Raw genomic sequence first — 15648 nt, 5'->3', positions numbered from 1 at the left:
GAGGGGAGAGTATAAATCTAAAGTCAAAAGCCTTGCTGAAATAGATTTGCTTTAGCTTCTTATTTTAAATGCATACATGTTTCATGGTGAAAATTTTGAAATGGAATATGTTAGCAGGAAGTGATAGGCTAGTCTTCACTGGTATTCAGGCAGGTCTGCCTGGTTTTTCACTAAGGGTAAAAAAAAGCCCAGGAAATCTCACATTTTTCATATTCCTACTCATATCCTCTTAATAAAAAAGACAAACCTAAAAACAAAAAAAGCCAAATACTTCAATTAACGAACTTATTCTAATAATGAAAATCAGCCTATATAGATATCAGAAAACTGAAAAATTGAGAATAAACAATATCATTGATTTGATATCCCATATCATTATAATCACAATACTTTATCGTGTTTTCCAGTAAAGAAGTTTCATACGTAATTGACTCTGATTTTAACATAAAGAATCCTAAATTTATCTGTTCACTTTGCAATTAAAAGTGTTTCTCTAATTTGTTGATGAATCTCTATCTTTGGATAGTATTATTGTTACTATGAGGTAGTAAGGGCCAAATGTATGGATCAAGGTGTCTCCTTCAAATTGTCACTGCTTCTTTTCTAGTAAAGAATATGTAGAATTTCTTCCTTCATCTACTTTGGGCTCTTGCTTGACATTTAATTCAGTTATGTGGGTTCTGGTGAACTTACATATTCTGAATTAAGTGGAAAGGCTTTACTCCTCCATTCACTGTAGCTCTTTAAACAAACTAAAACAAAGACTCCAAAAAACATCTTAGCAAAAATACATAGCATGTATATATGGGCTGAATTATGTTCCCTCAAAAATCCATATGTTGAAGTCCGAACTCCCAGTACCTCAGAATGTGACCATATTTCGAGACAGGGTATTTACAAAGACAACTAAGTTAAAATGAGGTCATTAGGGCCAGTCTAATCCAACATGACTGATGTCCTTATAAGAAGAGGAAATTTGGACACTGACACAGAGAGAAGATGATGTGAAGGCACAGGAAGAAGACAGCCACCTAGGAGCCCAGCAGAGGTGCCTGCAACAGACACTCCCCTCACAGCCCTTCAGAAGAAAGCAATGCTGTTTACATCTTGGCCTTGGACTTCTAGCCTTTGGAAATGTGAGAAAATAAATGCCTGTTGTTTAAGTCACCCAGTGTTTCTTTTTTGTGGAGGTCCTAGCAAATTTATACTGCATGGATGCTTTATTCCTCAGATTTCCCTGCTTGAAATCCTCATACCACTTCAGATTTGAAAAATAATCTCTACACACTAAATAAAAGGTTATTATTTGTTTCTCTCCCTGAACTCAACATGACATGAGTTTTGTGTCTTCACTGGAAAATATTTTAAATTTTTTTAAAAATGTATATAATATAAATATTAAATATATATTATATAGACTATATAGTATATATCAAATATATATGCTATATATTTTTAAAAATTATATATAAATATATAATATATGTATTTATATATTTAATATATATAAAATGTATTGTTTTGCTTATGGCCTATGTATCATTTTAACATTATCCAATTGCTGGCTCTCTGTCAGGGGCCTACATTGCATGTATACTGTAGGATCTTCCACCCGCATATGCCTGGATTTCTTCATGATTTTTTTCTACTTTAATGATGGTTTGTTATTAATTCATAATTTCAAGGGACCTAATATATAACTGATTTTTAAAATGTCTATAAATTAACAAAGAAAAGACTAATCATACTTTTTGGCATTATTAACAGCTGTATTCCCATCTCCTGATTTTTAGATATGCATTTAACTTGCTTTCATGGCCTGTGGCCCACAGGTTAATTATATAGTTTGTTGTTTTAGGCATCTGGACAACTTACTCTTCGCTATAAAAATTTATTTTTCTCCTTTCATACTTTTATCTATGTAGAATACTGTCTCATTACCTCAAGACCAAACTGAATGTATGAGTGCAAGATAGGCAAATTTGTGTCACAGGTCAAGTGTCATGCCCAGTTTGCCCTTGGCAGGTAAATTGGAAATAGGGTAAGGATACTCTGAAGCCCTTAGTTTTGAACTTACATTCCAATTGGATTATATGTATATTTAAGATTAATGTCGCAGTGAACACATAGAATTAGTTTGTGACTTATGAGTGATTCCTTACTCTTCACTCTGGGTGTTTGGGAGATAGTGACTAAATGACATTTACAAATAGCAAATAATATGATTTCAAAATTCAATCTCCAAGGCAAGTATGCATACAGATTAAGATAAATTTGTAACCCTTGCTGGTGGTTCTGCTTTGGCATGAGATGGTTTCTTTGTGTAACTAGCAACTGCAGATGGTTTATAACTATCAAAGGGACTGAGGATTAATGTAGATATTTTACAATCTGCTGTAAGCATCATTTGTATTATACATTTATATGACACAGTAGGTTACAATGATAGATTTGCTTTAGGTTACTCTGAAAATATTTTGAAAATGATAGAAACTTTTATATATAGCCAAATGGTTTAATTGATCAATTCTAGTGATATTCCTCTACAAAAAAAGGCATCTGGTCAGATAAAACTGCTTTTGCTGACAAAGAAAATAAAAAAGAATGGTCAAATAAAAAGTAATTCATCTATTTATGCTTTCATGAAGAAACAAATATCATTAGCTTAGGAGCTTTATGGCTTTTAAAAAACTTGTTTCTTATAGGAATGATGTGGTTTAATGTTTGTGTTATTGTATTTTTGTGGTTAAATGTGTCAGTGGTTTAATATGGGAGTAATCTAAGAGAGGGTATTGTAGGAGGAGATTGAACTGAACACACATCTAGCTCTCCTCCTGCCCTAAATTCCTTATGTGACCTAAAAAAGATTACACACACACACACACACACACACACAGAGAGAGAGAGAGAGAGAAAGAGAGAGAAATTCAGAATAGTGTTGGCAAGAGAGAAAGAATGTCATCAGCCGGTAGAAAATTGTGAGAATTTTTGCAAGTTAGAAAGGACACAATCCTGAGAATCCCCAAGCTGAGAGTGACCTAATGTAGAGAAGGAGATCAAGTGACAGCCATCACAGTAATTAAACAGGAGCTAAAATCTGAACAGTACAACTGTTCTGTCCTATCATTTACGCCACTATACTAAATGGCAAGCACAAATAGAACTCAATGTCAGGCTAAGTCTGAAAAGTATTATCAAAATTAATCTCTTTCGGGTCTGAGCAAGAAGAAGATCAGATTGTGGACTGACTTGAGATGCCCACGGGCATGAAGCCAGGAAAAAAAAAGGAGCACTCTGCTGTCAGGAGGTTAAACCTTGAAGTGCTTCTCTGCTGAACTCATCACCTTCCTAGGCTGGCAGTCAGGAGAGGGCATGAGCTCCTTGCCTACCTGCCAGTCCATGCCTCAGGAAACTTAACAGACACTGTCCAGTAGACCCACCTTAAATATTTACATAGAACCTAAAAGTAGCCTTTTCACTCACAGTTGAGACCTGGTGGAACATCAGACCTATATCACCACAGAGGATTGATGAAAACCAATAGGAGGACAAGGATGAACTAACAGAGCCACTGATCCAAGGTTATAAAATAAATAATTCAAGGAACAGATGAAAACTTAACCAAAGACACTTTTTACAGATCTTTAGAGAGAATCAAGTGGTGATTATCTATTAAAAGGAAAGAAGAAAAAGGAGGGAGAGGAGAAGGAGGAGAAAGATAAGGCTCTTAGGAAGATGAGTAATTAGAGAAGACAACAGTGGTTATAGATTGGCAAAGTAGAAAAAAATCTAATGCAAGGAAAATAATTAATTAAAAAACACTTAACAGGAGTTCCAGAAAAGAGAACATGAACATAGTAAATGGAAAAGATGAAAAGGAGGTAACAGAGGAATTTCCCTTGAGCTGAAGATTTGAGTCTTCAGATTAAAAGGGTGCACTTATGTGTCTACATCCTACTGAAATTTCCAACCTCAAGATTAAAAGAAAATTTTTAGAGCTTTTAGAGAGAAAATAAATCATTTAATCAGTCAAACTCACTAACATGTAGGTGAGAAATAAGTGAATAATCAGACTTCTAGAGGCTTTTTTTTTTTGTCTGTGAGCAGATGGAAGACCTTACTCCCACTCTTCATGCCCACGTAGATTAATTTTAATTTGGTCCTCTGGTTCAAACTTGACTGATTATCTTAATCACCTGTGAAGCCTTTGAAAAGTACACATCCATGGGCCCTACTCTCAGAGATGTAGGTGTATTAGATCCAGGGTGTGGTCTGGGAATCTGTATTCTAAAGAGCTCCTTGGTTTGGAAACAAGTGACTTAGCCCACAGACACTGATGACTCAATTCCATTAGCTGTTTGGTGCACGTGGGGCTCCATTCCATGGATATGAGCTCCTCACGCTAGACCACAAGGCTGACTCAGTGTGTTCTGTCTGAGGCCATATGAGTCTCATATGGCCAGCACCCAGGCCACAGAAATTATATTCATGGCTTCTGCTTTTAGACTAAACATGTCTTAGATGACAAACTATAAAAAGATGTAAAATATTTTTGCAAATCCAACTCTATTGGTAGCCGTTATCTTTCATTTCTGACTCCCCAATCATTGTTTGAAGGCTTAAATTTCACAAATAGAACTAAGGGTTCACTAAGAGTTTTGCAGTAAAGTTGCAGCTGTCCCATTCATGTGGATTTAATTAGAAAGATTTTGCCAATAACATTTTACAGATTTATCTTATTTGTAGAGAAACCCCCAGAGTGCCCTTTAATCCTGTCAAATGTGTCATTAAGGGAATATCTTACACCGATTGCATAATCAGAAGTTATATGAAGTAAAGGTGCAGCGTCTACAATACAGTACATGACGTAAGCTCTGACCAGCAGGGTTAGTTATGCTCAGGAAGTCAACTATCCACCATCTTGTCGGATCCATGCAGTCTTAGCAGACTTTCTTCACACCATGGATGATTGAATCCACTACTCTTTGCATGTTTAAAGACAGAGAAGGCAGATTCTCTGCAGAGAGACGTGAAGAGAAGGTATGCCATGCCTATAGTTGAACGCTGCAGTGGTAGGTGGTGTGAAACTAACTTTTTTACCTTTTTGAAGTATTAGGAAAGAAAAAGTATGTAGGTGAAAGTGGAATGTAATTTCCAAACACTAATCAGATGAGAAGCATTAATTTAGTGTTACTTTTCTTTTGGTCTGCTTTTGAAACAATGGCAGACTTTTGAAGGCTCTCTCCTTTCTTTCCTGTTTGAATTTATTTTCTGATTACACTTTAATACAATAAAATAGATTCATCAGAAACTTTCATGGCATTTCCCTGCCATGGCTCTTTTTTCACCCTGATTCTTCTCTCCAGTGTGTTCCTTTGTTCCTTTGTTTAGCCTCATAACACTCTTTCAGCCTCATAACACTCTTTCAGACTGTCTTCAATCTTAAAGGAAAAGGAAAAACTGAAAAAAAAATTAAACATTAAAAAAATCACTTTTATAAGAAGCAATTCCCCTTTTGGCTACACTGAACCTCACTAGCATTAGTTTATGTGGGTATTGTCCAGCCAGCAGAGCTTCCCTTTGGAGGTACAGTCATTCAATTTCTTTGATACACACAATGGTTAAATATGTTTCATTTTCATTTTCTAATCAGAAAAGAAGAGTGCTAAAATAAAATTTGGCTTCGAGGAAATCTGTGTGTTCAACTGAGTGTGTTGGAATTTCCAAAAGATTATGCTCCTTTCAGGTCCAATAAGTTAGAAGGAAATTTTGATTGCGGTGCCTGGTACTTGTAGAGAATGTGATTAAAAATTGATTAAAGGCCTATCCAAAGATATAGTTGAGATACTAGCTATAATTTTAGAAGATAATAAAAGTCATGACCTGTATATTTCTAAATTTCTTTTACAGTTAAAGAATATTTGCTTGACCCGATGAAATAAAATGAAACAATAAAAACCTAGTTTATATAAGAACCCCAAATACAGTCCTAGTCATCAAATCCTAATAATTGTGTGTCCAGGGGAGAAGAGGTCCCAGTAATCCTACTTTAGCCTTTACATGTTTGTGATATTTATTTTAAACACTTTAGGAAGTCAGTATGACATATATTCCTCTTTCCTTTTCGTTAAATTGAAGACACATTGAGTACCATAACTACACTGTAGAAATAGAATACTGATTCTATTAGAGAAAGGTGACATTTACTTTATCTTGATTTAGAGGATAACTTATGTAAATTACCAAAAAAAGGCAGGAGATGTCAAGTCTTTCGCATAAAATTCAAGTGAGATCAACACATTCATTGACACATCACTGAGGGATAAATTTTTTATTGCATCCTATATATTTGTTCTAAGAATTCTGATTATATTTTTATTGTTAAAAGCTACTACAGATAGTTTGGTCACATCTTAGAAGTAATGAACGGTCACCATGACCTCATTCTTGGGAGTGTTGTCATTTGAGACCTTGTGTTTGAAAAGTGTCCGGAACTGGCAGTACTGTTGATGTGCTACTCACCTTTTACATCTGCATACATTTATCAGAAGTGGATTTGAGGTTTGCATAAATATTATGCATTTTAAAAACTATACTACCACGTTCTTTTTGGTTTCTTTTATTGTTAGAGTCCTTACTGTGTAGAAATAGTTTTTAATATTCCATTATGTTTAATTATTTTGATAAAATAGCAAGTTTACACTACAGTTTATTTTAAATAAAAATAAGTGCAAAATAAAAGTTTAAAGTAGACTTTGCCACAGTTTTTGCAAACCTGGCTTTTTGCTTTTTGTTTTCATTTTTTTTTAATTGTGGGAAAATGTTTCTGGAGAACCTCAAATGAAATAAAGTTAGACACAGAGTCACATTTTAGAGGCATATAGAGAAAATGTGGCTTTTTGTTTGCATTATTCTTTTTTACTCTGTACGGTGAAAAATTGGTTTTATTTCTTATCATATATCAATAATTTTTTTTTTTAAATTTGAGACAGTCTTGCTCTGTGGTCCTGGCTGGAGTGCAGTGGTGCCATCTCGGCTCACTGCAACCTCCACTTCCCAGGTTCAAGTGATGATTGTGCCTCAGTCTTCTCCTGAGTAGCTGGGATTACAAATGTGAACTGCCACATATGGCTAATTTTTTAAAAATTATTATTATACTCTAAGTTCTGAGCTACATGTGCAGAAGGTGCAGGTTTGTTACATAGGTATACATGTGCCATGGTGGTTTGCTTCAGTCATTAACCCGTCATCTACATTAGGTAGTTCTCCTAATGCTATCCCTCCCCTAGCCCCCCACACCCCGAGAGGCCGTGGTGTGTGATGTTCCCCTCCCTGTGTCCATGTGTTCTCATTGTTCAGCTCCCACTTATGAGTGAGAACATATGTTGTTTGGTTTTCTGTTCTTGTGTTAGTTTGGTGAAAATGATGGTTTCCAGCTTCATCCATGTCCCTGCAAAGGACATGAACTCATCCTTTTCTATGGCTGCATAGTATTTCACAGTGTATATGAGCCACATTTTCTTTATCCAGTCTATCATTGATGGGCATTTGGGTTTGTTCCAAGTCTTTGCTATTGTGAACAGTGCCGCAATAAACATATGTGTGCATGTGTCTTATAGTAGATGGATTTATAATCCTTTGGGTATATAGCCAGTAATGGGATTGCTGGGTCAAATGGTATTTCTGGTTCTAGATCCTTGATCTAGATCACCATACTGTCTCTTCCACAATGGTTGAACTAATTTACACTCCCACCAACAGTGTAAAAGCATTCCTGTTTCTCCATATCCTCTCCAGCATCTGTTGTTTCCTGACTTTTTAATGATCGCCTTTCTAACTGGTGTGAGATGGTATCTCATTGTGGTTTTGATTTCCATTTCTCTAATGATGAGTGATGATGAGCTTTTATTCATATGTTTTTTGGCCACATAAATGTCTTCTTTTGAGAAGTGTCTGTTCATATCCTTCACCCACTTTCTGATGATGTTGTTTTTTTCTTGTAAATTTTTTTAAGTTCTTTGTAGATTCCGGAGATTATCCCTTTGTCAGATGGATAGATTGCAAAACTTTTCTCCCATTCTGTAGTTTGCCTGTTCACTCTGATGATAGTTTCTTTTGCTGTGCAGAAGCTCTTTAGTTTAATTAGATCCCATTTGTCAATTTTGGCTTTTTAAGAAACAAATTATATTCTGCTTTACGTTACTATTTTTTAAACATATTGTATCCCCTTCCTAGTTTCTACACTCTTTTGGAGTTTATATACCTTCCCTAAGATATAACCAAATCCTGGGCACATAGGTGCATTGATATTAAATAAATGCACAACTCAAGTTTCTACTTTACATCCATATCACAAAGCTTGGCATCAAATAGTTTACAGTCTATTTGAGGAGAAAATTTGTAGGCTAACCGTAATGCAAAGTAGGATGAAATAAACACTTTAATGGTGATATGAGTAAAATAGTGGTGAAACCCAAAGTAAGAGTGATTAGCATAAATTTGGGAGTGGAGGAAGGAAGGGGATTAGTATAACCCTCACAGAACAAGTGACATTGAGCCTGAGTCTTTCAGAATCAGGAGCACTTCTGTAGGCTAAGGAGGTAGAGGAAACATGGGTTTCTAGCTTAGGAGCTGTAAAAAGCACTACCCATATGGAGAATAGAAATCGGCCCCATAAACCTGGAGCTTATCTTCTCAGAGGGAAACAGTAGCACCACATCACCTCTGTTAAATGCACTCTCAGGAGTTCAGACTTTGTTCTGCTCAGAGAAAAGAGCCAACAAAGATTTCTGAAGGAGAAATAACATACTATGGGCTCTGAGACTAAGGAGAATGACTTTGGTATCAGTAGGTGGGGTTAATTGAAGCAGGGTTCTCCAGGCAAGGTATGGTGAGCCTCTGAGTTAGAATGATAGTGAGAAAAGAAAGGGAGGGGACAGATACGGGTGACATTGTGAGGTATAGTTAATAGTGCATGGAAACAGCCCTGTCATTGTCCTTATCATACCAGAGGGTTTCCTTGTACTTGCAGCACACAGCTGGAATCCCTGGTATGACACACAAGTCATTTTCCACCTGCATTGATTCCTTTCTCTTTTCCCTTTTTCTTCCCACTCTCCTCGTGCAAGCATGGCATGCTGGGCTCCACCTATGTAAACCTTCTCTCCGTGCTTTATGCTCTCACATGTCTCCTTGGTTTTGAATATTTTATTCGTTATGCTGGATGTATTCTTCCTTTCTCTCCAGTTTCTGAACATCTACTTAGTTTTTAAAAGCCCAGCTCAGCTGAGCATGGTGGCTTACACCTATAGTCCCAGCTACGGGGTTGGGGAGGGTTGCGTTGGGAGGATTGCTTGCACCCAAAAGATCAAGGCTACAGTGAGCCATGATTGTGCCACTGCACTCCAGCCTGGGTGACAGAGTGGGACCCTGTCTAAAAAACCAAAAACACCCAACCCAAATGTTACCTTTTTTTGGAAGCTTTCCTAACCAGATCTCTACTGCCCCCAACACTCCCACATCCATTGCTCCCTGGACTTAGTCACTCTCTCCCTTGCCTCCCAGAGCAGTGTATTTATCCTTTTAAAATAAAACTAAACACACAACACTATACACCCATTAGGCTAAAATTAAAAATTGTGACAACACCAAATGCTGGTGAGAATGCTGCAAAATTTGATCACCCACACATTGCTGGTAGGAATGAAAAATGGTACAGGCATCCTGGAAATAGTTTGAAAGTTTCTTTTTTTTTTTTTTTTTTTTTTTAAATGTAAACATTCAACTATCATATGACCCAAAATTGTACTCCTGGGTGTCAATCCCAGAGAAATGAAAATGTATGCTCACACAAAAATCTGCACACAGACATTCATAGCAGCTTTATTGTGATAATAAAAAACTGGAATTACCCCAGATGTCCTTCAACAAGTGAATAAACTGTGGTAAATACATACCATGGAATACTACTTAGCAATAAAAAGGAATAAACTATTGATAAATGCATTTGCATTTATCTTGGATGAACTTCCAGACTATTATGCTGGCAACAAGAAGCCATTTCCCAAAGGTTACAAACTGTATGTTCTGAATAGCTTTCTCATTTTATAACTGCAGTCTGTTTAGTAGCAATAATCTTGATGCAGAGTTTACATTTTCATCTCTTTGCCAAGGAGACTATCACCTGACTTTTCTCAAATCTAAGTAGTTACGTGTCACTTTTAATTAGCAATTAGAAATGGACGTAAGAGGTGGAGCCAAGATGGCCGAATAGGAAGAGCTCCGGTCTACAGCTCCCAGCATGAGCGACACAGAAGACGGGTGATTTCTGCATTTCCATCTGAGGTACTGGGTTCATCTCACTAGGGAGTGCCAGACAGTGGGCACAGGACAGTGGGTGCAGCGCACCGTGCGTGAGCCAAAGCAGGGTGAGGCATTGCCTCACTCAAGAAGCGCAAGGGGTCAGGGAGTTCCCTTTCCTAGTCAAAGAAGGGGGTGAGAGACGGCACCTGGAAAATCAGGTCACTCCCATCCTAATACTGCGCTTTTCCGATGGGCTTAAAAAACGGCGCACCAGGAGATTATATCCCACACCTGGCTTGGAGGGTCCTATGCCCATGGAGTCTCCTTGATTGCTGGCACAGCAGTCTGAGATCAAACTGCAAGGCGGCAGTGAGGCTGAGGGAGGGGCGCCCGCCATTGCCCAGGCTTGCTTAGGTAAACAAAGCAGCCTGGGAAGCTCCAACTGGGTGGAGTCCACCACAGCTCAAGGAGGCCTGCCTGCCTCCGTAGGCTCCACCTCTGGGGGCAGGGCACAGACAAACAAAAAGACAGCAGTAACCGCTGCAGACTTAAATGTCCCTGTCTGACAGCTTTGAAGAGAGCAGTGGTTCTCCCAGCACGCAGCTGGAGATCTGAGAACGGGCAGACTGCCTCCTCAAGTGGGTCCCTGACCCCTGACCCCTGAGCAGCCTAACTGGAAGGCACCCCCCAGTAGGGGCAGACTGACACCTCACACGGCCGGGTACTCCTCTGAGACAAAACTTCCAGAGGAACGATCACACAGCAGCATTTACAGTTCACGAAAATCCACTGTTCTGCAATCTCTGCTGCTGATACCCAGGCAAACAGGGTCTGGAGTGGACCTCTAGCAAACTCCAACAGACCTGCAGCTGAGGGTCCTGTCTGTTAGAAGGAAAACTAACAAACAGAAAGGACATCCACACCAAAAACCCATCTGTACATCACCATCATCAAAGACCAAAAATAGATAAAACCACAAAGATGGGAAAAAAACAGAGCAGAAAAACTGGAAACTCTAAAAAGCAGAGCGCCTCTCCTCCTCCAAAGGAACGCAGCTCCTCACCAGCAACGGAACAAAGCTGGACGGAGAATGATTTTGACGAGTTGAGAGAAGAAGGCTTCAGATGATCAAACTACTACGAGCTACAGGAGGAAATTCAAACCAAAGGCAAAGAAGTTGAAAACTTTGAAAAAAATTTAGACGAATGTATAATTAGAATAACCAATACAGAGAAGTGCTTAAAGGAGCTGATGGAGCTGAAAGCCAAGGCTCGAGAACTACATGAAGAAGGCAGAAGCCTCAGGAGCCAATGCGATCAACTGGAAGAAAGGGTATCAGTGATGGAAGATGAAATGACTGAAATGAAGCAAGAAGGGAAGTTTAGAGAAAAAAGAATAAAAAGAAACGAACAAAGCCTCCAAGAAATATGGGACTATGTGAAAAGACCACATCTACATCTGATTGGTGTACCTGAAAGTGACGGGGAGAATGGAACCAAGTTGGAAAACACTCTGCAGGATATTATCCAGGAGAACTTCCCCAATCTAGCAAGGCAGGCGACCATTTGGATGCAGGAAATACAGAGAACACCACAAAGATACTCCTTGAGAAGAGCAACTACAAGACACATAATTGTCAGATTCACCAAAGTTGAAAGGAAGGAAAAAATGTTAAGGGCAGTCAGAGAGAAAGGTCGGGTTACCCACAAAGGGAAGCCCATCAGACTAACAGCGGATCTCTCGGCAGAAACTTTACAAGCCAGAAGAGAGTGGGGCCAATATTCAACATTCTTAAAGAAAAGAATTTTCAACCCAGAATTTCATATCCAGCCAAACTAAGCTTCATAAGTGAAGGAGAAATAAAATACTTTACAGACAAGCAAATGCTGAGAGATTTTGTCACACCAGGCCTGCCCTAAAAGAGCTCCTGAAGGAAGCACTAAACATGGAAAGGAACAACCGGTACCAGCCACTGCAAAATCACGCCAAATGGTAAAGACCATCGAGGCTAGGAAGAAACTGCATCAACTAATGAGCAAAATAACCAGCTAACATCATAATGACAGGATCAAATTCACACATAACAATATTAACTTTAAATGTAAATGGACTAAATGCTCCAATTAAAAGACACAGACTGGCAAATTGGATAAAGAGTCAAGACCCATCAGTGTGCTGTATTCAGGAAAGCCGTCTCATGTGCAGAGACACACATAGGCTCCAAATAAAAGGATGGAGGAAGATCTACCAAGCAAATGGAAAACAAAAAAAGGCAGGGGTTGCAATTCTAGCCTCTGATAAAACAGACTTTAAACCAACAAAGATCAAAAGAGACAAAGAAGGCCATTACATAATGGTAAAGGGATCAATTCAACAAGAAGAGCTAACTATCCTAAATATATATGCACCCAATACAGGAGCACCCAGATTCATAAAGCAAGTCCTGAGTGACCTACAAAGAGACTTAGACTCCCACACAATAATAATGGGAGACTTTAACACCCCACTGTCAACATTAGACAGATCAACCAGACAGAAAGTTAACAAGGATACCCAGGAATTGAACTCAGCTCTGCACCAAGCAGACCTAATAGACATCTACAGAACTCTCCACCCCAAATCAACAGAATATACATTTTTTTCAGCACCACACCACACCTATTCCAAAATTGACCACATACTTGGAAGTAAAGCCCTCCTCAGCAAATGTAAAAGATCACACATTATAACAAACTGTCTCTCAGACCACAGTGCAATCAAACTAGAACTCAGGATTAAGAAACTCACTCAAAACCGCTCAACTACATGGAAACTGAACAACCTGCTCCTGAATGACTACTGGGTACGTAACAAAATGAAGGCAGAAATAAAGATGTTCTTTGAAACCAACGAGAACAAAGACACAACATACCAGAATCTCTGGCACACATTCAAAGCAGTGTGTAGAGGGAAATTTATAGCACTAAATGCTCACAAGAGAAAGCAGGAACGATCCAAAATTGACACCCTAACATCACAATTAAAAGAACTAGAAAAACAAGAGCAAACACATTCAAAAGCTAGCAGAAGGCAAGAAATAACTAAAATCAGAGCAGAACTGAAGGAAATAGAGACACAAAAAACCCTTCAAAAAATTAATGAATCCAGATCAACAAAATTGATAGACCTCTAGCAAGACTAATAAAGAAGAAAAGAGAGAAAAATCAAATAGACGCAATAAAAAATGAAGAAGGGGATATCACCACCGATCCCACAGAAGTAGAAACTACCATCAGAGAATACTACAAACACCTCTATGCAAATAAACTAGAAAATCTAGAAGAAATGGATAAATTCCTCGACCCATACACCCTCCCAAGACTAAACCAGGAAGAAGTTGAATCTCTGAATAGACCAATAACAGGCTCTGAAATTGTGGCAATAATCAATAGCTTACCAACGAAAAAGAGTCCAGGACCAGATGGATTCACAGCCGAATTCTACCAGAGGTACAAGGAGGAACTGATACCATTCCCTCTGAAACCATTCCAATCAACAAAAGAAGAGGGAATCCTCCCTAACTCATTTTATGAGGTCAGCATCATCCCGATACCAAAGCCTGGCAGAGACACAACCAAAAAAGAGAATTTTAGACCAATATCCTTGATGAACATTGATGCAAAAATCCTCAATAAAATACTGGCAAACCAAATCCAGCAGAACATCAAAAAGCTTATCCACCATGATCAAGTGGGCTTCATCCCTGGGAGGCAAGGCTGGTTCAATACATGCAAATCAATAAATGTAATCCAGCATATAAACAGAACCAAAGACAAAAACCATATGATTATCTCTACAGATGCAGAAAAGGCCTTTGACAAAATTCAACAACCCTTCATGCTAAAAACTCTCAATAAATTAGGTATTGATGGGACATATCTCAAAATAATAAGAGCTATCTATGACAAACCCACAGCCAATATCATACTGAATGGGCAAAAACTGGCCGTAAGACAGGGATGCCCTCTCTTACCACTCCTATTCAACCTAGTGTTGGAAGTTCTGGCCAGGGAAGTTAGGCAGGAGAAGGAAATAAAGGGTATTCAATTAGGAAAAGAGGAAGTCAAATTGTCCCTGTTTGCAGATGACATGATTGTATATGTAGAAAACCCATCATCTCAGCCCAAAATCTCCTTAAGCTGATAAGCAACTTCAGCAAAGTCTCAGGATACAAAATCAATGTACAAAAATCACAAGCATTCTTATACACCAATAAGAGACAAACAGAGAGCCAAATCATGAGTGAACTCCCATTCACAATTGCTTCAAAGAGAATAAAATACCTAGGAATCAAACTTACAAGGGATGTGAAGGACCTCTTCAAGGAGAACTACAAACCACTGCTCAATGAAATAAAAGAGGATACAAACAAATGGAAGAACATTCCATGTTCATGGGTAGGAAGAATCAATATCGTGAAAATGGCCATACTGCCCAAGGTAATTTACAGATTCAATGCCATCCCCATCAAGCTACCAATGACTTTCTTCACAGAATTGGAAAAAACTACTTTAAAGTTCATATGGCACCAAAAGAGAGCCCACATCACCAAGTCAATCCTAAGCCAAAAGAACAAAGCTGGAGGCATCACGCTACCTGACTTCAAACTATACTACAAGGCTACAGTAACCAAAACAGCATGGTACTGGTACCAAAACAGAGATATAGATCAATGGAACAGAACAGAGCCCTCAGAAATAACGCCGCATATCTACAACTACCTGATCTTTGACAAACCTGAGAAAAACAAGCAATGGGGAAAGGATTCCCTATTTAATAAATGGTGCTGGGAAAACTGGCTAGCCATATATAGAAAGCTGAAACTGGATCCCTTCCTTACACCTTATACAAAAGTTAATTCAACTTGGATTAAAGACTTAAACGTTAGATCTAAAACCATAAAAACCCTAGAAGAAAACCTAGGCATTACCATTCAGGACATAGGCATGGGCAAGGACTTCATGTCTAAAACACCAAAAGCAATGGCAACCAAAGCCAAAATTGACAAATGGGATCTAATTAAACTAAAGAGCTTCTGCACAGCAAAAGAAACTACCATCAGAGTGAACAGGCAACCCACAAAATGGGAGAAAATTTTCGCAACCTACTCATCTGACAAAGGGCTAATATCCAGAATCTACAATGAACTCCAACAACTTTACAAGAAAAAAACAAACAACCCCATCAAAAAGTGGGCGAAGGACATGAACAGACACTTCTCAAAAGAAAACATTTATGTATGCAGCCAAAAAACGCATGAAAAAATGCTCACCATCACTGGCCATGAGAGAAATGCAAATCAAAACC

At 38.4% G+C, this 15648-nt stretch overlaps 1 long non-coding RNA gene across 1 annotated transcript in view, besides 3 other annotated features; it reads right to left on the bottom strand.

Moving 5' to 3' along the window:
• NREP-AS1 (NREP antisense RNA 1) overlaps positions 1-15648 on the bottom strand; it is a 104799-nt gene that overhangs the window by 14943 nt on the left and 74208 nt on the right. The window lies entirely within an intron of this gene.
• Positions 3663-4862: an enhancer, noted in NCBI's record as "BRD4-independent group 4 enhancer chr5:111333199-111334398 (GRCh37/hg19 assembly coordinates)". NCBI's record gives its function as "activates an origin of replication core promoter dependent on BRD2, P300/CBP, MED14 and CDK7 cofactors, and independent of BRD4, by STARR-seq in HCT116 cells {active_cell/tissue: HCT116}" and the evidence as "EXISTENCE:reporter gene assay evidence [ECO:0000049][PMID:35650434]".
• Positions 10205-10704: an enhancer, noted in NCBI's record as "H3K4me1 hESC enhancer chr5:111327357-111327856 (GRCh37/hg19 assembly coordinates)". NCBI's record gives its function as "activates a minimal SCP1, AML or CMV promoter by ChIP-STARR-seq in primed H9 embryonic stem cells {active_cell/tissue: H9 hESC(primed)}" and the evidence as "EXISTENCE:reporter gene assay evidence [ECO:0000049][PMID:30033119]".
• Positions 10705-11206: an enhancer, noted in NCBI's record as "H3K4me1 hESC enhancer chr5:111326855-111327356 (GRCh37/hg19 assembly coordinates)". NCBI's record gives its function as "activates a minimal SCP1, AML or CMV promoter by ChIP-STARR-seq in primed H9 embryonic stem cells {active_cell/tissue: H9 hESC(primed)}" and the evidence as "EXISTENCE:reporter gene assay evidence [ECO:0000049][PMID:30033119]".

The sequence above is a fragment of the Homo sapiens genome, chromosome 5 (genome assembly GCF_000001405.40).
Source record: "Homo sapiens chromosome 5, GRCh38.p14 Primary Assembly".
Taxonomy (NCBI): domain Eukaryota; kingdom Metazoa; phylum Chordata; class Mammalia; order Primates; family Hominidae; genus Homo; species Homo sapiens.
The sequence above is the reverse complement of the archived record's forward strand: the minus strand, read 5'-3'. Positions and strand labels throughout refer to the sequence as shown.